The sequence below is a fragment of the Homo sapiens genome, chromosome 2, assembly GCF_000001405.40.
Source record: "Homo sapiens chromosome 2, GRCh38.p14 Primary Assembly".
In the NCBI taxonomy this organism is placed as follows: domain Eukaryota; kingdom Metazoa; phylum Chordata; class Mammalia; order Primates; family Hominidae; genus Homo; species Homo sapiens.
This window is the reverse complement of record NC_000002.12, coordinates 75,256,133-75,278,077: the sequence shown is the minus strand read 5'-3', so window position 1 is coordinate 75,278,077 and position 21,945 is coordinate 75,256,133. Positions and strand designations below refer to the sequence as shown.

The window sequence follows — 21,945 nt, the reverse complement described above, 5'->3', positions numbered from 1 at the left end:
CTGAAAGAAGAGAGGCAAATTAGGGTAAAGCTGAGTCTCTCTAATAGTCCCACCTGGGGCCAGCCTTGATCAGCTGACACCCAGTATATGAGTGAGCCAGTCACAATCAGCAGAGCCACCCAGCTGACTCCAGATACATGAGCAATAAATGTCTATTGCTGAATGCACTGAGACTTTGTTGTTGCCTGTCAGGCAGCAATACCGTGAAAACAGATAACCAAAATACGGGTTTGTTGCAGGATTAAGTGAGATAGCATATATAGACTACCTTGAACAGTGCCTAACACAGAGTAACTGCTTAAACATGTGTAACTCATTATATCATTTTCAGATATGATTGTTTTCCTGGGGCCACCCAGGGACAGCTGAAATGCAAAGGTAGCCTATGTAAGCTAATCATTTGATGTTTCTCCAAACTGATATTTTATCTATCTTTCTCATTGTTTATTTAGTGAGGGAGGAAGAAAACTGGATTCCTCTGAATAATTTTTGGAGCCAAAACTGATTTACTTAGTAAGCCATTTTTACTAGCTGAAAAAGAGCTGATGTTCTAGAAAATAGAATGGCAAATTATCTGCCACATTTCTGAATTACACTTCTTTAGTGTTCTATTGTGGTTTCCAAAAAAGAAAACTTCTGGGGCAGTACATTAAAGAGTGTAAAACTCAGGAAATAAACAAGCCTCTCTTTTCCAGTAAATGACACTATACTATGCATTATTCAGTTTTGGAATTTCAGCTGAATGAGACTTCTGACTCTTAGCTGACTGACTACATGTTGAATCATAAAAATACTTGACAGAAGTAGGATGCACTCACCAGGAAGTTTTCCTTCTTCTTCTCCTTATTATTATTCCCCCATGAAATCAAGGTCTGGCTCTGTAGAACCAACTTTTTTTTTTTTTCAGTTTATTGCACTGGAGGTTTAGTATTCCTTAGATAAAGCAAAGCTCATGGACACCTTTACAACTAGCCCACAGCTTGCTTGGCTTTTGGGCTGTGAAGAAGCTGCATAATCAAATGAAGCTTTTTTAAATGCATCTGCAGATGCTGGCATAAAGAATCAGGTGGGACAATTTGGCATCTGATGTAAGCATCTTGCTTTATAGTTGTAAAAGCTTACCTGGTCTAGAATAAAAAGTGTAAAAAATATGCTCTGTCAAACCAAAGGTTTAGAACTCTCTAAATCCAGCCCCGGGTTTTTGTCCCTGCCTTTCTTTCTTTCCATTATTTATTGAAGCAAAGCACAACGGGCTATTAACTATTCCCTGAGAAATAAATGTTAACCACAAGCAGCACACCACAGTTTAGGAGTTTATGCCCCAAACAGGTTCATCTGATTATCCGACAGGCTTCCCTCCCTTTCAACTGTCCTCACAATGCCGACAGCCCTATTGGCAAGGAGACTTCTGAATCTTAGCTGACTATTGACTGCATGCTGAGTCACAAAAATACTTGACAGAAATTGAATGCACTCACCAGGAGGTTTTCCTCCTCCTCCTACTCCTTCTAACTCTCCTCCTTCTCTTCCTCCTACTCCACCTTCTCGCATGAAATCAAGGTCTGGCTCTGCAAAATCAATGTATATTTTTTCAGTTTACTGCAATGGAGGTTTAGTATTCCTTAGGTTAAATAAGAGTCCTGGATACTTTTACAATTAACCCACTTCTTGTTTGGCTTTGGCGCCAAGCAAATCATTTGTACTTGTCCAAGTGTAATGAGTAACATCTCATCAGTAAGTCTCTCATCCTATTTTACTGGGTTCAAATTCCAGCTCCACCATGCACTAGCTGTGTGACCTTGGGAAAATTGCTTAACCTGTCTACGTGTCTGCTTTCTCATCAATAAAATGAAGCTGATAATGCATAATACTTTATTGTTTTGAGAAAATTCAAATCAGTAATTCATGTAACGTAGTAGTCCAGTTTCTGCTAATAGTGCCCATTTTTTACTCAACAAATATTTATTGAACATATTATGTACCAGACACTGTTGTAGGAATTTAACAAAACAAATCAAGAATGACATAGGTCTTACATTCTAGCAAGGGAGACAGACAAGCAACGATAAATCAGCTGAATGGGTAAATTTCTGAGTATGTTCCACAATGATAAGTGATATGAAACAAAAGGAAAAGTAACGCAGGGTGAGAGGGATGGGAGAGGTGAGTGAAGTGTGGGAAAAGTTGCAGTATCGAATAGAAGAGAAAAATCTTATTGAGGTGGAATTGGAGCAAAAACTCAAAGGAGGTAAGGGAGTGAGCTGAGCAGGTAACCAGTGGAAGAGCATTTCAAGCTTGAGCCAAGCCCAAGTGTGAGGGGCCAGAGGATTAGAAGGAGCCAGGAAAGAGTTGCAGAAGATGAAGTCAAAGTGATAATAGGTTTCAATCATTTGCGGCCCTGAAAACCACTCTAAGAGCTTTAGTTTTCACTCTGAGTGACATGTAGAAAGACTGCAGGACTTTGGGCAAAGGAGTGGCATGATCTGACTTACATTTTAAGGGACTCAGTCTGGCTCTCTGTTGAAAATAGTTCATAGGGGAGAAAAGCAAAATCAAGGAGACCTGTTGCTACTGTTGTACCTTAGGTGATGGATGATAGAAGCTCAGGTTGGAATTTGGGGGTGGGAGTAGGGAGAAGAAAAGGAGGATAGCCTTGGAGTTGGTGAGAAGGGGTCAAATTTGAGATGTGCTTTAAAGGCAAACCTAATTAAATGCTCTGAGAAATTGGATATGGAATGCAAAAGAAAGAGTCAAGGCATTAAGCCTGAGCAACTGAAAAGGTGGAGTTGCCATCTACTAGAACAAGGAAGGTTATGGTTATGGACAGGAAAGAGCAATAGTTCAGTCTTGTTACTTAAGAAACCTTAGCTACTTTTGTTATTATCACATTCTGCCTCATACTGTTATAAATGCATGTACCTGTCTTATCTCTATCCCCAGATGGCAAACTACTTGAGACTGGAAACCATATCATGTTCTTTTAAATGGACCGTAGTTCTATCACAGTTTAGTTGATATGACTGTACTCCATATTTGCCACACATACTAGCTACACTCCTGATACTTGCCAAGTAAACAAAACAACTATTGTTCATCCTTCAAAATCTTATCTAAAGGAAAAAGGAGAAATGGGAAAATCAATGGAAGGAAAAACTGAGCGTGACATCAGCAAGATGGCAGAACAGAAAATTCCCCCATATCACTCCCCTCACAAAAATACAACTGGAAACTGTTCAAAGACAAACATACCACCCTGAATTCATCCAAACTTGGGGGAGAAGTGGAGGAGCCCCCTGGGCCCACAGAACTGAGAGAAGCTGCAACAAATAGGAGAAATGGTCATTTCAGACTGCGCCACCCCTACCCCAAGTCAGCATAATGCCACCGACAGAATTTCCCCAGACCCAGTTTCTGAGGTGAGAGTAGGGAGCTGCAGGTAGACTTTCAATCTCCCCACTAATCTGGGAATCTTCACAGGAAGACTACTCCATTCTGATACCACAGGAAACACTGGGGGAGCCAGGAAAGAACCAAACTACTTGGGACAAAGAGTGGGGCACTGACTGCAGCAACTGGCATGCAGATCTTGGTAATTACTCTGCACATCCACCAGTGGACACACCACACTGAAGAGGCTGGCCATCACCATAGTACTGCAGGAGACACAATCCATGGGAAGGCCCAGCTGCCTGGCCAGATTTTCTACAAAGCTCAGGTGTCTGCAAGGAGCCTTCCTTTGACCTGAAAAAACTAAAAGATCGGGATTAAGTTCCAGTATGTGCTTAAGCCTTCCCCAGAGTGGGAAACAATGGCAGGGCAGTGATTTAGTTATAGGGCAGCATTTAAGTTTCAGTGCCCACTGTAAGTTTTCCCCAGATTGGGAAACAACAGCAGGGCAATGAGTTAGTTTCAATGCAGCATTTTAGTTCTGGTGCTCACTATACATTATCCCCAGAATAAGAAGCAACAACAAACTAACATTTAAATTCTGATGCTAAGTAGTAAAGCTCTAGCATCACCAAAGAACATCTACAAAAACCAGAAGAGGTGGCTGCTTCCTCAAATATGCAGGCATCAATGTAAAGATACAAGGATTGTAAAAGCTCAGGGAAATATAACAACACACAAAAAAAAAGCCCCACAAAGCACTAGCAATGGATCCAAAAGAATTACAGATCTATGAAATGTCTGATGGAGAATTCAGAATAATCCTCTTAAAGATGTTCTGAAAAACAAAAAAAAATATGCATGGAAAACCAATTGAAACACTGAACTGAAAAACTCATTAGAAAGTTTCAACAGCAGACTTGATCAAACAGAGAAAAGTATTTGAAAACTTGAAGTCAGAATATATGAAATTACCCAATCAGAGAAACAAAAAGAAAAAAAATTAAAAAGTGAAGAAGGCCTATGAGAATTATCTCTGCATAATAGGAATTCCTGAAGGAGATGAGAGAAAAAATGGCATATTAGAAAGCATATTTAAAGAAATAATGGCTGAGAATTTCCTAAACCTGGAGAAAGACAACAGCATCCGGCTATAGGAAGCTTAGATATCACTGATCAAATTCCATTCAATGAAGTAGTTCCTGAAGGCACATCATAATCAAATTAGCAAAAATCAAAGACAAAGAAATAATACTCAAAGCTGCAAGAGAAAACAAACATATCACATTCAACAGAGCCCAAATACAGCTTTCAGTAATAGTAGAGGACTTCAACACCCCACTTTCAACAACGAACAGATCATCCAGAAAGAGAATCAGCAACGAAACATTGAAGTTAAACTCTACACTCTAGACCCAACTGGACCTAACAGAAATTTACATACACTGCATCCAACATCTACAGAATACACATTTTTCTCAACAGCACATGGAACATTCTCCAGGATACATCATACGGCAAGTCACAAAACAATCTTAGCAAATTTTTAAAAATTGAAATGATATCAAGTATCTTTTCTGACCATAATGAAATAAAATCAGAAATCAAAAACAGAAAGGATATTGGGAACTGTACAAATTCATGAAAACTAAACAACATGCTTCTGAACAGAGAATGGATCAAAGAAGAAATTTAAAAGAAAATATGAAATTCCTGAGACAAATAAAAATGGAAATACAATATACCAAAGCCTGTGGGATAGAGGAAAATCAGTTCTAAATGGAATCCGTGTCGCAATAAATGCCTGCCTCAAAAAAGTAGAAAGACTTTAAGTAAACAAACACCCTAATGATGTACCTCAAGAAACTAGAAAAGTAAGAACAAACCAAGCCTCAAATTAGCACAGGAAAAGAAATAATAAAGATCAGAGCATAAATAAACAAAATTGTGACTAAAGAAAAACCATATAAAAGATCAACAAAACAAAAATTTGGGTTTTTTTTTAATAAAGTTGATAAATTTTTATTTAGACTGAGAAAAAAGAAGCCACAAATAAAAGCAGAGACAAAAAAGAAGACTTTATAACTGATACCACAGACACACAAAGCATAATTAGAGACTATTATAAACAACTATACACCAACAAATTGAAAAATATAAAAGAAATGGATAAATGCCTGGACACACACAACTTACCAACATTGAACCATGAAGAAATAGAATACCTTAACCGACCACATAGCAAGTAATAAGATTGAAGCAGTAATAAAAAGTCTCCCATCAGAGAAAAGCTTAAGACCTTATGACTTCACTGCTGAATTCTACCGAATGTTTAAAGAACTAATGCCAATTTTACTCAAAGTCTTTTAAAAATTGAAGAGGACGGAATACTTTCATATTCATTCTATAAGGCCAGCATTACCCTGATATCAAAACCAGAGAAGGACATAATAAAAAACAAAACTACAGGCCAATATGACTGATGAACATAGATGTAAAATCATCAACAAAATACTACCAAACCTAACTCAACAACATACTGAAACAATTATTAATCATGATCAGATGAGATTTATCCCAAGGATGAAAGGGTAGTTCAACATATGCAGATCAATAAATGTGATACATCGCATTAACAGAATCAAGAACAAAAACCACATGATAATTTCAATAGATGCTGAAAAAGCCTTTGATAAAATCCAATATCCCTTCATGATAAAAACTCTCAACAAACTGGGAACAGAAGGAGCATACCACCAACACAAAATATATGACAAAACCCACAGCTAGTATTATACTCAATGGGGTAAAAATGAAAGTGTTTTCTCTAAGATGTGAAACTGGACAACAATGTCCACTTCTACCACTTTTATTCAACATAGTACTGGAAGTCCTAGCCAGGGCAGTTAGGCTAAGTAAGGAATAAAAGGCATCCAAATTGGAAAGAAAGAAGTCAAATTATCTTTGTTGGAAGACAGCATGATCCTATATTTAGAAAAGCCTAAGGAGGCCTGATGCAGTGGCCCACACCTGTAATCCCAGCACTTTGGAAGACCGAGGCAGGCAGATCAGTTGAGGCTAGAAGTCCGAGACTAGCCTGGCTGACATGGAGAAATCCTATCTCTACTAAAAATACAAAAAAAAAAAAAAAAAAAAAAACCATAGGCAGGCATGGTGGCACATGCCTATAGTTGCAGCTACTGGGGAGGCTGAGGCAGGAGAATTTCTTGAACCCAGGAGGTGAAGTTTGCAGTGAGCTGAGATTGCACAAGTGCTCTCCAGCCTGAGTGACAGAGTGAGATTCTGGTTCAAAACTACAAAATAAAATAAATTAAGAGCTTAAGGACCCCACCAAAAAAAATTATTAGAACCAATAAATGAATTCAGTAATGTTTCAGTTTACAAAATCACCATACAAAACTCAGTAGCATTTCTATAAACCAACAGCAAACAACCAGAATGAAAATAAAGAAAACAACCCCATTTACAATAGCTACAAGAAAAAACCTAGGAATAAATTTAACCAAAGAAATTAAAGAATCCTACAATGAAACCTATATAACACTGATGACAATTGAAAAAGACACAAATTAAAAGATAGCTCATGCTTAAGCACAGGAGGAATTAATTTTGTCAGATGCCCATACTACCCAATGCATTACCTATCAAAATACTAATGACGTTCTTCACAGAAATAGAAAAGAAATTCTAAATTCATGTGGAACCACAAAAGAACCCAAATAACCAAAACAATCTTCAGCAAAAAGAACAAAGATAAAGGCATCACGATACCTGGCTTCAAAACATACTGCTAAGCTATATTAACCAGAACATCAAGGTATTGGTATAAATACAGACACAAAGACCAATGGAATAGAATAGAAAACACATAAATAAATCTGCACATTTACAGCCAATTTATTTTCAGCGAAGGCACCAAGAACATATACTGGGGAAAATTCAGTCTGTTCAATAAATGATGCTTGGAAAACTGGATATCCATAAGCAGAAGAATGAAATTAGACCCCTATCTCTCACCATATTCAAAAATTAAATCAAAATGGATTAAAGACTCAAATTTAAGACTCAAAGCTATGAAACTACTGGAAAAAAAACATTGGCACAATACTTCAGGACATGGTCTGGGCAAATATTTCAGGTGTAAGACCTCAAAAACATAGGCAACCAAAGCAAAACTAGACAAATGAGATTACAGCAAGCTAAAAAGCTTATGCATAGCAAAGGAAACAATAAACAGAGTAAAGAAACAACACACAAGATGGAAGAAAATATTTGAAAACTATCCATGTGACAAGGGATTAATAACCGGAATACACAAGAAACTCAAATAACTCAATGCCAAAACCAAAATAATCTCATTAAAAATGGGCTAAAGATCTGAATAGACATTTCTCAAAAGAAGACATACAAATGGCCAAGAAGTATATGTAAAAATGCTTACCATCACTAATTATCAGGGAAATGCAAATGAAAATCACAATAAGATATTAACTCACCCCAGTTAAAATGGCTATTATCAAAAAGACAAAAAGTAACAGATGGTGGTGAGGATGTAGATAAAGGGGAATGCTAGTACACTGTTTCTGGAAATGTAAATTAGTACAGCCACTATGAAAAGCAGCATGGAGGCTGTGATGGTTAATATGAGTGTCAACTTGATTGGATTGAAGGATGCAAAGTATTGCTCCTGGCTGTGCCTGTGAGGGTGTTGCCAAAGGAGATTAATATTTAAGTCAGTGGACTGGGAAAGGCAGATCCACCCTCAATCTGGGTGGGCACAATGTAATCAGCTATCAGTGCATCCAGAATAAAAGCAGGCAGAAGCAAGTGGAAAGACTAGACTGACTTAGTCTTCCATCCTACATCTTTCTCCCATGCTGGATGCTTCCTGCCCTCAAACATTGGAATCCAAGTTCTTCAATTTTGGGACTCTTGGACTTTTGACCACAGACTGAAGGCTGCACTGTTGGCTTCCCTACTTTTGAGGTTTTGGGACTCGGACAGGCTTCCTTGCTCCTCAGCTTGCAGATGGCCTACTGTGGGGCCATACCTTGTGATCATGTGAGTCAATACTCCTTAATAAACTCCCCTTTATATATACAGCTATCCTATTAGTTCTATTCCTCTAGAGAACCCTGACTAATACAGAGGCTCTTGAACAAACTAAAAATAGATCTGTCATATGATCCAATAATCCCACTATTGGGAATATATCCAAAAGAAAGAAAATCAGTACATTGAAGAGACATTTGCATTTCCATGTCTATTGCAGTGCTATTCACAATAGCAAAGATATGGAATCAATCTAAGTGACCACCAATAGATGAATGGATAAAGAAAAGTGATATACATACACACACACAAAATGGAATATTATTCAGCCATAAAAAATAATGAAATTCTGTCATTTGCAGCAACATGAATGAAATTAGAGGACATTATGTTAAGTGAAATAAGCCAATCTCAGAAAGGCAAATATTGCATGTTTTATGTTCTTACTTATATGGGGGAGCTAAAAAAGTTGATCTCATGGATGTAGAGAGTAGAATGATGGTTACCAGAGGCTAGGAAGAGTAGAGGGAAGCAAGGAATGATGACAGTTTGGTTAATGGGTACAAAATAGAGGGAATAAGTTCTAGTGTTTGAAAGCACTAGGGTGACTATAGTTAAAAATAATTTACTGTATATTTTACAATAGTTAGAAGAGAAGATGTAAAATGTTTCAAGTACAAAGAGATGACAAATGCTTTAGGTGATTACCATTAATTATTCTGATTTAATCATATTCTATGCGGGTATTAATTATCACAGGTACTCCATAAATATGTACAATTATTAAGCATCAATTTAAAAAGAAAAAAATGGATGGATGGCCTGAATGGTATAGAGGACATTCCTTCACAGATACATAAACTTTATCCCTATGTTAAAAAGGGCATCTATACATGCTAGATCCCTGATTTGTAGCATACATTTCTAAAATACTTCTATTAACAGTGTTTTGAAGTGATGCCTTTGGCCAATATGGAGAAATCTTATAAGAAACAGCCATTTAAAACTCAGTGCTGTGTTTCCTATATGGATGTAGCTGAAGGTCTATTTCAGTACATGGTAGTCTTTCTTTAGTTAGGAGGAAAATGTGTCTAACTCTATTTTCCCTCCCTAATACAGCTCAATATATGTTTTTTTTTAAAAAAAAAAAAATGTAACTCAAGATTGTTGTCTGTATCATGAGTTTTTTCTGTAAAGAATCAGAGAGTATTTTAGGCTCTGCAGGACAGTACATTCTGTCACATCTAATCAGCCCTGCCATTGTAATGAAAAAGTAACCACAGAAAGTACACAAGCAAATAGGCCTGGCTGTGTTCCAACAAAACTTTATTTGTGGGAGCAGAGCAAGACGGCTGAGTAGAAGGCTTTACCGAATTTCCTCCCTGAAGGAACACGGAATTTAATAACTATTTACATAAGCCAAGCATGGTGGCTCACATCTGTAAACCCAGCACTTAGGGAGGCAAGGCGGGAGAATTGCTTGAGCCCAGAAGCTTGACACCAGCCTGGGTGACATGGTGAGATCCCATCTCTACAAAAAATCAAAAAATTAGCTAGGTGAGTGATGTGCATCTGTAGTCACAGCTCCCAGCTACTCAGGAGGCTGAGGTGGGAGGATCTATTGAGCCTGAGAGGTTGAGGCTGCACTGAGCTATAATTGAACCATTGCACTCCAGACTGAGCAACAGAGCAAGACCCTGTCTTAAAAACAAACAAAAAACTATCTACACAAAACAAACACCTTCATAAGAACTCAAAATTAGGTGAGCACTCACAGTACCTGGTTTTAACTTCATATCACTGAAAGAAGCATTGAAGATGGTAGGAAAGACAGTCTTGAATCACTGATGCCACCCCTCCCTCAACACCCAGCAGTGGCTGCATGGAGTGGAGAGAAAATCCGTGTGCTTGGGAAAAGGAGGGTGAGACATTGTATTGAACTCAGTGCTGTCCTGTCACAGCAAAAAACAAAACCAGGATGAACTTAACTGATGCCCACCCACTGATAAAATATTTAAACCAGCCCTAGCGAGAGGGAGGCACCCATCCAAGTGGTCAGAACCTGAGTTCTGGCAAGCCTCACCACTGTGGGATAAAGAGCTCTGGGTTCTGAATAAACTTAAAAGGCAGTTAAAGACACAAGGACTGCAGCTCCTAGGCAAGTCCCACTGCTGAATTATGCTCAGAGCCAGTGAACTTGGGGAGCACACAACCTACTAAAACACTAGCTGGGTGTCTAAGGAAGTGCTTGTACCACCACTCCCCAAACCCCAGGCTGCACAGCTCATGGCTCCAAAAATGACTCCTTCCAACGGCTTGAGGAAAGGAGAGAAAACAAAAAAGGGGACTTTGTCTTCATCTTGGATACCAACTCAGCCACAGATTAGAGCACCAGTCAGAGTCATGAGATCTCCTTTCCAGCCCTAGCTCCTGGATGACATTTCTAGACATTTCCCATCCTGGGCCAGAAGGCAACCCACTGCCTTAAAGAGACAGAACCAATTCTGGCAAGACTCATCACCTGCTGACTAAAGAGCCTTGGACCCTGAATAACTAGTAGTGATAACCAGGTAGTATGCCATGGGCATTGGGTGAGACTCTGAGACTTGCTGGCTTCAGGTGAGACTCAGCACATCCCCAGCTATGGGGAGAGACTCCTACTGCTTGAGAAAAGCAGAGGGAAAAGTAAAGCAGACTTAGTCTTGCACCTTAGGTACAGGCTCAGCCGCAGAGGGATGGAGCACCAAGTGGGCCCTTGGGGTCCCCAATTCCAGGACTTGTCTCTTGGATGGCATTTCTGGACCTGCTCTGGGCCAGAGGGGAGCCTACTGTCCTAACAGATGAGTCCCAGGCCAGACAGCACTCACCACAAGCCAACTGAAGAGCCCTTGGGCCTTAAGTAAACATCACCAGTAGACTGGAAGTACTTCTCATGGGCCTGTGGTGGTCATGGCCACAAGGTTTGACTCCTCTTCCTATAGAAAGGGGAGGAAGAGTGGGAAAGACTATCTCACATGTGGTTTCAGTTCCAGCTCAGCTGCAGTACAATAGAACACCAAGCAGTTAAAGTGTTTGACTCCAGACCCTGGCCCCTGGATGGCACCTCTGGAGCTATCTACAGTCTGGGGGAACTTGTCATCCTGAAGGGAAGGATACAAGCCTGGCTGGCTTTGCCACCTGCCGATTATGGAGCCCAAGGGCTTGAGCAAACGTAGTGGTAGCCAGGTAGTGGTAACAGCAGGCATTGGAAGAGACCCAATGCTGTCCCGGTTTCTGACCAGCACAGTAATAGTGGTGGTGGCCACAGGGGTGCTTGTGTCACAACACTCCCAGCTCCAGGTGGCTCACAACAGAAAGAGGAGGTGGGGAGAGAGAGAGAGACAGACTATTCGTTTGGGAGAAAGCAAAAGAAGAGAACAAGAGTCTCTGCCTGGTAATCCAGAGAATTCTTCTGGATCTTACCTAAGACCATCAAGGTGGTACCTCTATAAGTCTGCAAGAAACAGAGTGTCACTGGCTTGGGGTGCCCCCTAATATAGATACAGCTTAGATCACAACACCCAAGTCCTTTGGAATACCTGGAAAGCCTTCCTAAGAAGGACAGGCACAAATAAGCCCAGACTGTGAAGACTATAATAAATCCCTAACTTTTTGATGCGCAGACATACACAAACATCCACAAGCATCAACACCATCCAAAAAAACATGACCTCACCAAAAAACTAAATAAAACACCAAGGACAAAACCTGGAGAAACAGAGGTATGTGACCTTTTAGACACACAATTCAAAATTGCTGTTCTGAGGAAACTCAAAGAAATTCAAGATAACACAGAGAAGGAATTTAGATACATTTAACAAAGAAATTGAAATAATTATAAAGGAGCAAGCAGAAATTCTGGAGTTTAAAAACACAATTGGCATACTGAAGAATGCATCAGAGCCTTTTAATAGCAGAACTGATCAAGCAGAAAAAAGAATTTAGTGAGCTTGAATACAGGCTATTTGAAAATACACAGTCAGAGGAGACAAAAAAAAGAATAAAAAACAATGAAGCATACCTACAGGATTTAAAGAATAGCCTCAAGAGGGCAAATCTAAGAGTTATTGGCCTTAAAGAGGAGGTAGATAAAGAGATAGGGGTAGAAAGTTTATTCAAAGAGATGATAACAGAGAACCTCCCAATCTAGAGAAAGACATAAATATCCAACTACAAGAAGGTTATAGAACGCCAAGAAGATGTAACCCAAAGAAGACTACCTCAAGGTATTTAATTATCAAACTCCAAAAAGGTCAAGGATACAGGAAGCATCCTAAAAGCAGCAAGAGAAAAGAAACAAACAACATTCAATGGCGCTCCAATACATCAGGTAGCAGACTTTTCAGTAGAAACTTTGAAGGCCGGTAGAGAGTAGAATGACATACTTAAAGTACTGAAAACAATACTAAAATGTATATGGAACCAGAAAGGACCCAAAAAAGCCAAAGAACAAAAGTGAAGGAACTATATTACCTGACTTTAAATTATACTACAGAACTATAGTAACCAAATAACAGGGTGCTGGCATAAAAACAGACATATAGATCAGTGGAACAGAATTAAAATCCCAGAGATAAATCTACACATCTACAATGAACTTATTTTTGTCAAAGGTGACAAGAACATACACTGGGGAAAGGGCGGTCTCTTCAATAAACGGTGCTGGGAAAACTGGGTATCCATATGCAAAAGAATGAAACTAGACTATAGCTGCATTCTATCTTGCCATATGCAGAAATCAAATCAAAATGGATTAAAGACTTAATCAAAGACCTCAAACTGTGAAACCACTAAAAGAAAGCAATGGTAAAACTCCCAAGGACATTAGTCTGGGAAAATATTTTTTGAGCACAGGAAACCAAAGCAAAAATGGACAAATGGGATCACATCAAGTTAAAAAACTTCTGTACAGCAAAGGAAACAAACAACAATGTGAAGAGACAACCCACAGAATGGGAGAAAATATTTGCAAACCTCCTATCTGATAAGAGATTAATAACCAGAATATATAAGTAGCTCAAACAACTCTGTTGAAAAAAAAATCTAATAATCTGATCAAAAGATGGGCAAAAGTTCTAAACAGACCTTTCTCAAAGGAAAACATACACATGGCAGACAGGCGTATGAAAAGGTGCTCATCATCACTGATCATCAGAGAAATGCCAATCAGAACTACAATGAGATATTATCTCACCCTAGTTAAAATGGCTTTTATCCAAAAGTTAGATAGGTGCTGGTGAGGATGGGGAGAAAGGAGAACCCTTGTATACTGTTGGTGGGAATGTAAATTAGTACAACTACTAGGGAGAACAGTTTGGAGGTTCCTCAAGAAACTAAAAATTGAGCTACCATGTGATCCAGAAATCCCACTCCTAGGTATATACCCAAAAGGAAAAAAAATCAGTTTACAGAAAAGATATCTGCACTTCCATGTTTATTCCAGTACTATTCACAGTAGCCAAGATTTGAAAGTAATCTAAGTGTCCATCAGCAGATGAATTAATAAAGAAAGTGGGATCACATGATCCCATAAAGAAAATTTTAAAATATAGTAATATATACAATGGAGTACTATTCAGCCATGAAAAAAAACAAATGAGATCCTGTCATTTGCAATAACATGAACAAAACTAGAGGTCATATGTTAAGTGAAATAAGCCAGGCACAAAAAGGAAAACTTTGCATGTTCTCACTTATTTGTGGGGGCTAAAAATTAAAGCAATTGAACCCCTGAAGATAGAAAGTAGAAGGATGGTTACCAGAGGCTGAAAAGGGTAGTAGAGCATGAGGGGGAGGTGGGGATGGTTAAGGGGTACGAAAAAAAAAAGAATGAATAAGACAGTTTTTGCTAGCACAACAGGGTGATCATAGTCAAAAATAATTGTATCTTTCAAAATAACTGAAAGAGTGTAATTGGATTGTTTGTAATACAAAGGATAAATGCTTGAGGTGATGAATACCCTATTTACCCTGCTGTAATTATTATGCATTGCATGCCTGTATCAAAATATCTCATGTAACCCATAAATGTGTACACCTACTATGTACCCCCCCCCCAAAAAAAGTTAAAAGTATTTTTTAAAAATTTATTTGCAAAAACAGGTGGCAGGCCAGGTTTGGCACACAAGCTGAGCCTGTAGTCAACTTCATTATCTCCAGTTCATCCTGAATTCTCTCTTAAAATTGTTGACCTCTCAACTGCCCCTTATGGAAATTACCAGTGACCTCTGTGTTGCTAATTCCAGTGGTCAATTCTCAGCCCCTACTTAACTTGACCAACAGTAGCATTTGACACAGTTGATCACTCTCTCCTCCTTGAAATTCTTCCTTCTCTTGGCCTACAGAACACCATGCTTAGCTTGATGTCCTTCTACATCACTGGCTCCTCTTTATCTTTTTTCTTGGTTCCTCATCTTCTCCCTGATTCTTAATATTGTAGAGCCCCAGGGCTCAGGCTACTTCTCTTTTATATTTATATTAATTCCTTGGTGATCTCATTGAGTTTCATGGCATTAAATATAATTTATAAACAGGTGAATCTCAAATTTTTGTTTCCAGCCCAAACCTCTCTTCCATCTCCAGAATCTTATTTCTAATGGCTTATAGAACACCTCCAGTTGGAGTCTAACAAACACCTCAAACTCAAATTGTTCAGAACTAAATTTCTGCTCTTTGTCCACAAACCTGAACCCCCTTCAGGCTTCTTCATCTCAATTAACCTTGAAGTCTTCCTTGTCTCCTCTCTTTCACTCACACCCTACATCCAATCCACTAACAAATTCTGCTGACTTCACCTCCAAAGCCATATTGACAAAATATGTTCCCATTTTCCCCACTGCTACTTTTCCTGTCTATGCCCTGTCATCTCTTACCTAGATGATTGATGTGGCCTCCTACCTAATTTCCCTGATCCCTGTTCCTTCCCACAGTCAATTTCAACACAGCAACTAGAGTGATCATTTTAAAATTCAAGCCAAGTTATAGCACTCCTCTGTCAAAACCCTATTTCACTCAGAGTAGATGTCACAGTCTGTACGACGCCCAATGCTATCTCCTGTGCTGCATTTCAAGGCCCAGTGCCCTCTCTGATCATCTCTTTTACTGTTTTTCTCTAGACTTATTCTGTGCGGTGTGCCCTAGACACACCAATCCTCCCTGACCCCCACCAATGTAGGGCCCTTGTCCCTGCTGTTTCTTCCACCTAAAACATTCTTGCCCCCAGATACTCATAAGGCTCTCTCTTTCTCCATTCAAGGCTATGCTCAAGTATCATTTTCTTATTGATATCTGTCCTCACCATTCTATTTAGATTTGTAGCCTACTCACTCCCCAGAAGCTCCCATTCTCCTTACCCTACTTTATTCTGTCTACAACACCTATCTCCCTCTAATGCATATCTCCCTGGCATGTCAGGTCCACATGGGCAGAGGTTCCATGTGTTTTCTCCACTGCTGTATCTTCAGCACCTAGAACAGTGCCTGTCCAAAGTAAGCACTCTGTAAATATTTGAAGGCTCATAGAATTAGGAATAATCATGCTCCTAAGTAAATATTTTAGGGACAATGTGAATTTTGTAGCTGATCATATTTTCCTCTTCACTTTAGCTACTAGGAATCTTAAAATCAAATGTATGGAACATCTATAGAAACTCACATGCACTTTACGGCTGTGGTAAAGAACTTCAGTTCTGGAGCTGGTGGTCCTTTGATACCCAGTTCTACCAATTTACTAGATGTCTGATTTGAGTCAGGTTGCTTAGCCTTTTTGTGCTTCAGTATTTTTTTCTTGTAAAATGGCTGCAGTAGTAGTAGCACACTTCAAAGGGTTATTGTGAGGACAAGTGAAGATAGTAGATGTTAAGTGCTTAGAACATGGTTCAGCATATTAAAAGAGCCCCATAATGGCTTACTGGTAATTTAGAATTACCAACCATCTCAGTGTGCCCGGGACTAAGGAGTTTCCCCAGAAGTGGAATTTTCAGAGCTAAAGCCAGGCAAGTCCCAGGTACGTCATTTTATTTTTCTACACTGACATTTCCCTTTGCCTCTTTTTATTTCTTATTTTTTTATCTTGCTCTACAAATTTTTGAAAGGTGCTTTATATTTTTTGAAACAAAGTACAGAATGAATAAATCATACATGTACTCACATATAATGTGCACATTATTCACCTTAATAAATATTAATAAGCCATATGCTTTATAAAGGGAAAACAAATGATTGAATGAAGGCATAGTCATTTCTTCTCTAACAGAGTTTAGATTCACTTTTTCAATACTGTATGCAAAGCAAAGGTAGAAAAAGTTGAGGCAGAGATGACAAAGCCTTTAGCACTCCATCTTAAGTAAGTTTAGTATTATACCAAACCACAAGATTATGTAAATGAAAAGACTAACATTGTTAAGTGCCACACAAATGTTAGTTGATGTTATTATAACAATCTGGTCTTATGATACCCTGAGGCTTCTTGAATAACAGAGAAATGCTAATGAAATCAGGCTGTATATTTTCAGAAATACAATATAAACTCTGTGACTGCAATGCTCCACAAGTTCTTCTTATTATTAGCTACTTCTATGATTGCCTTTGTTGGCATTTTCCCCTCTTCTATAACTTTTGTGAATATCTGAAATATAAAACAATTTCAAGATTTTTTAACAACAAGTTATTAAAACCAGAATTGCAATGTAAGGAGCTCTACAGACTCTCTCCCCTGCAAATCATAACTGGTGAAAATGATTCTTAAAATGTTTAAGTCTCTGGAAATTGTCCTAAGAGAGTATGACAAATGGAGAAACATTTTTAAAAAATGAATATCTCGGTAAGAAGAGTGACAGTCTGTGGCATTTGAGCTATGACCTGCTCCCTTCTCTGTCCTCCAGCTCAGCATAATAGAAGCTCTACTATGGGTGAATGAAAAAAAAATCACAGGGCTGTCTTTTCCACAACTCCTAGTTTAGGGCTATAGCATCATTCCAAGAGGACCAGGCTATCGGCATTTCTCATCCCCACCCCCACCCTCAAACCCACTCCCAGATTCCCTGTTGCAGAAGCTGAATTCCAGGCCAGGGTAGCTGAGAGATATGGGGCTCCCTTCTTTAGTATAGAACCCATTCATATGGTAGAAGCTCTACCATGCAGCAGGATGAGCATACTGAATCCAATTGCTCACACTGCAACCTGCTCATAGGGTGAAAGTTTTATGCTAGGAGAGGCAAACCAAGAAGAACAGAGACTAATGCACCCACCTAGTGGCCCACTCATAAAGCAGGGGTGTTACTCCAAAAGAAATTAGTCACTGTACCCACCCCCAGCTCTGGAATAATGGTGCAGATGTTTTGTCCAGGGGTAAGGCCAGGTCCCAAGCTTCAAGCTCCCCTCAAGGGAACTTAATTTATTTGGAACAGAGTGTGGAATTTCAAGCCCACTGTTGCTGTTAAAAGCAATGAGAGCAACACACTCAATTGTAGGGCAGCTATACATTTAATAGAGAGAACCAAGGAAAGCAATAGCTAGAGTTAAAACAAGCCTCAAAGATTTGTCTTCAATAACTACTGTTCCAAAGAGGCCTAAATTTAGATGGGAATGTTGTGACATTTGTACTCCATAGCATTACTGAAAACAATAGAGCAGTCAGCCAGCAGTTAGTGGAGGCTATCAGCAGGTGTGATAGCAATAGACAGGCAGCTTAACCAAAAAATCAGGAAAAGAAACTGTCAAAGAGAACCATGTTAAAACCATTGTTACTCCAGGGAGACTGTGTGCTTATCCAACCCTGCACTTTCTGAGAAATGGCATCAAAGGCTACATACAAAGAAAAGAAATAGGCTGAAATAGCTCAGCTAAATCACTGAACAAAGAAGCCAGCAAACAACACCACCAAGCCACTGCGTGTGTGGAAGAGGGAGAGGCAGGAGTAAATCAGTATTCAGAATTGCTACAATATATTATCTAAATTTCCATTTTTTAACAAAAAGTTATGAAAAATGCAAAGAAACAAGGAAGCCTGACACATACACAGGAGAAAATAGGCAGAAGAAACTGCCTTTGAGAGGGCCCAGATGTTGGAATTATAAGACAGACTTCCAAGCAGATATTATAAATATATTAAATGGACTAAAGGAAATCATACTTAAAGAAGTAAAAGAAGGAAGATGAAGATGTCTCATCAAATAGAGAATATCAACAAGTAGATATAAATTATTTAAAAAATAGAAATTTTGGAATTAAACATACAATAACCAAAGCAAAAAATTCATGAGAGGGCTCAACAGAGGATTTGAGTTGGCAGAAGAAAGAATGAGCAAATTTTAAGATACATTAGGGGAGATTATTCAATTAGAAGAACAAAAAGAATGAAAGAAAATTGAATGGAGTCTCAGAGAAATGTGGGACATCATTAAGCACCTGAACACATGCATAATGGTAGTTCCAGAGGAGAGGAGAGAAAAAAGAAAGAAAGATTCTTTCTTCAAAAGAATATTCAAAGAAATAATGGCTGAAAACTTCTCAAACTGATGAAATCAGGATTTTAAAAAAATTAATCTACACATACAAAACACCCAAATGGAATAAATACAAAGAGATCCACACTCAGACATATCAGAGTGAAAAAGCCAAAAACAAAGAGAAAATCTTAAAAACACCAACAGAAAAATGTCTTGTCTTATATAAAAGAAACTGACTTCTCATCAGAAACAATGGAGGCCAGTTGTATGACATATTTGGAGTGCTGAAAGGAAAAAAAAAAAAAAAACTCTGTCAACAGAGAATCCTATATCTAGCAAACATATCTTTGAGAAATGAAGGTGAAATAAGAGCAAGCACAGATAAATGAAAATGGAGATAATTTGTTGCTGTCAGACCCACCTTGTAAAGGGTGTTAAAAGTTCTTCAGACTGAAAGCAAGTGAAGCCAGATGGTAATTATATACAAGAAGAAACACAGAATCCCAGTAATGGAAGTTTTGTAGGTAATTATAAAAGATAATATAATCACATATTTCTTCTCCTAACTGATTTTAAAAGCACTTGTATCAAACAATACATATATAATTATATTGTTGTTCTAGTAATGCATATAAATGTAATCTATTTAACAATAAGCACAAAGGAGGTGAGAGGAATCAATTAAACCAGATGATAATGCAAATCCACAAGAGCAAACTGGCCCTCCCACCCTAGCCTTTCATATGCAAACTTGCAAGATACAAGATATAAATACAAAAATCAAGTATAGTTCAATATACTAGCAATGATAATCCAAAAATTAAAGTAAGAAAGCAATTCCATTTACAATAATACTTAGGAATAAGTTTAATACTCTGAAAACTATAAAACATTATTGAAAAACATTAAAGAAGACCTGAGATAAAAAGACATTCTATGTTCATGATGCTCCGGAATACTTAATTTTGTTAAGAGAGCAATACTTTCCAAACTGATCTATAGATTTAATGCAATCCCTATCAAAATTCTACATTCCTTTTTTTGGAGAAATTGACAAGGTTATTATCAAATGTATATGGGAATTCAAGGGATCCTGAACAGCCAAAACAATCTTGATAAAGAAGAACAAATGAGGAGGACTCACAGTTCCCAATTTCAATACTTACTATAAGACAACAGAAATCAAGACAATGTGGTACTGGCATAAGTACAAATAGATTAATGGAATAGAATTGAAAGTCCAGAAATAAAGCCATATATATGTATATGGGCAATTGATCTTCAACAAGTGTGCAAAAAATTGTGATGGGGAAAGTATATTATTTAAAATAAATGTGCTGGAACAACTGGATATCTACATACAAAAGAATAAATTTGGACCCCTACCTCACACCATATACAAATGTTAATTCAAAATGGATCAAAGACCTAAATGCAATAACTAGATCTAGAAAACTCTCAGAATAAAACTTAGGTGTAAACCTTTATGAAGTTTGATCAGTCAATTGTTTCTCAGCTATCATACCTAAAGCACAAGAAGCCAAATAAAAAATTGGACTCTATTGAAATTAAAAACTGTTGTACTCTCTTAAGCACTTTTTAGGGTGCTCTCGAGAAAGAGAAAATATAACATACAGAGTGGGAGAAAATATTTGCAAATCATGTATCTAACAAGAGTCTATCCAGAATATATAAAAATCTATTCAAAATATATAATGAACTCTTACAACCCAATCAAAAGACAAGTAAAACCAAAAAAGGGTAAGGAGAATGGTTTATATAAACTTTTCTTCAAAGATATACAAAAAGCCAATAAAAACATAATATGTTCAAAATTACTAGTCATTAGGAAAATCAAAATCACAGTGAGGTGCCACTTCACACCCACTGTGATGACAATAATAAAAAAGACAGAAAATAACAAATATTTGTGAAGATGTGGAGAAATTGGAACACCCATACATCATTGGCAGAAATGTAAAATGGTGCAGCTGCTTTGGAAAAAAGTTTGGTAGTTTCTCAAAAAGTTAAACACAGAGTTGCCACATGACCTGGGACTTGCACTCCTAGATATATACCCAAGAGAAATGAAAACATATCCCCACACAAAAGCCTGTACACAAATGTTCATAGCAGCATTATTCATAATAGTCAAAAAAATAGAAACAACACAGATGTCCATCAGCTAATAAATGCATAAACAAAATGTGGTATACCTATACAATGGGCTATTACTCAGCTATAAAAAGAATGAAGTATTTACAAGCTACAACATGGATGAACCTTGAAAACATTATGGTATGTTAAAAAAGCCAGTCATGAAATGCAACATATTATATGATTATATTTCTAAGAAATTATGAGACTAGGCAAATTAATAGAAAAAAGGCAAATTAGTGGTGTCTAGGGGCTGGAGAAAAGGGGAAATGAGAGTGACTTCTAAAGAGTAAAAGGTTTCTTTTTGGGGCAATGAAAATATTCTAAAATTGATTGTAGTGATGGTTACCTAAATGAGTAAATGTTATGGCATGTGAGTTACATATCAATAAGGCTGTTTAAAAAGTTAATGGGGCCAGGCACGGTGGCTCATGCCTGTACTTCCAGCACTTTGGGAGACTAAGGCAGGCAGATCACCTGAGGTCAGGAGTTCGAGACCAGCCTGACCAACATGGTGAAACCCTGTCTGTACTAAAAATACAAAAATTATCTGGGCATGGTGGTGCATGCCTGCAATTCCAGCTACTCAGGAGGCTGAGGCAGGAGAATCACTTGAAGCCGGGAGGTGGAGGTTGCAGTGAGCTGAGATCCCACCATTGCACTCCAGCCTGGGCAACAAGAGTGAAACTCTGTCTCAAAAAAAAAAAAAAAGTTATTGAAAAATTATTCCAAATAAGAATGTATAACAAAGTGTCACATATTCATTAAGTATTTATTAAGCATCTGCTATGTGCCTGACACTGTTCAAGGCACAGTGAATATAGTAGTAAACCAAATAGACT

At 38.1% G+C, this 21,945-nt stretch overlaps 2 long non-coding RNA genes across 4 annotated transcripts in view; one reads left to right on the top strand and one right to left on the bottom strand.

The window, feature by feature from the left end:
- TACR1-AS1 (TACR1 antisense RNA 1) overlaps positions 1-21,945 on the bottom strand; it is a 125,490-nt gene that overhangs the window by 1,730 nt on the left and 101,815 nt on the right. For both annotated transcript variants that reach the window (NR_168009.1, NR_168010.1), the window contains exon 3: positions 1,479-1,568. This is a non-coding gene — a long non-coding RNA (TACR1 antisense RNA 1). The remainder of the gene's footprint in view (positions 1-1,478; positions 1,569-21,945) is intronic.
- Positions 1-21,945, top strand: part of LOC107985900 (uncharacterized) — an 85,220-nt gene that overhangs the window by 30,624 nt on the left and 32,651 nt on the right. Inside the window, exon 2 of one of the 2 annotated variants that reach the window (XR_001739545.2) lies at positions 2,941-5,339. The exons of the other annotated variant lie outside the window; for it this stretch is intronic. This is a non-coding gene — a long non-coding RNA (uncharacterized LOC107985900). Of the gene's footprint in view, positions 1-2,940; positions 5,340-21,945 lie in introns of those variants that run through there. 2 annotated transcript variants of the gene reach the window in all.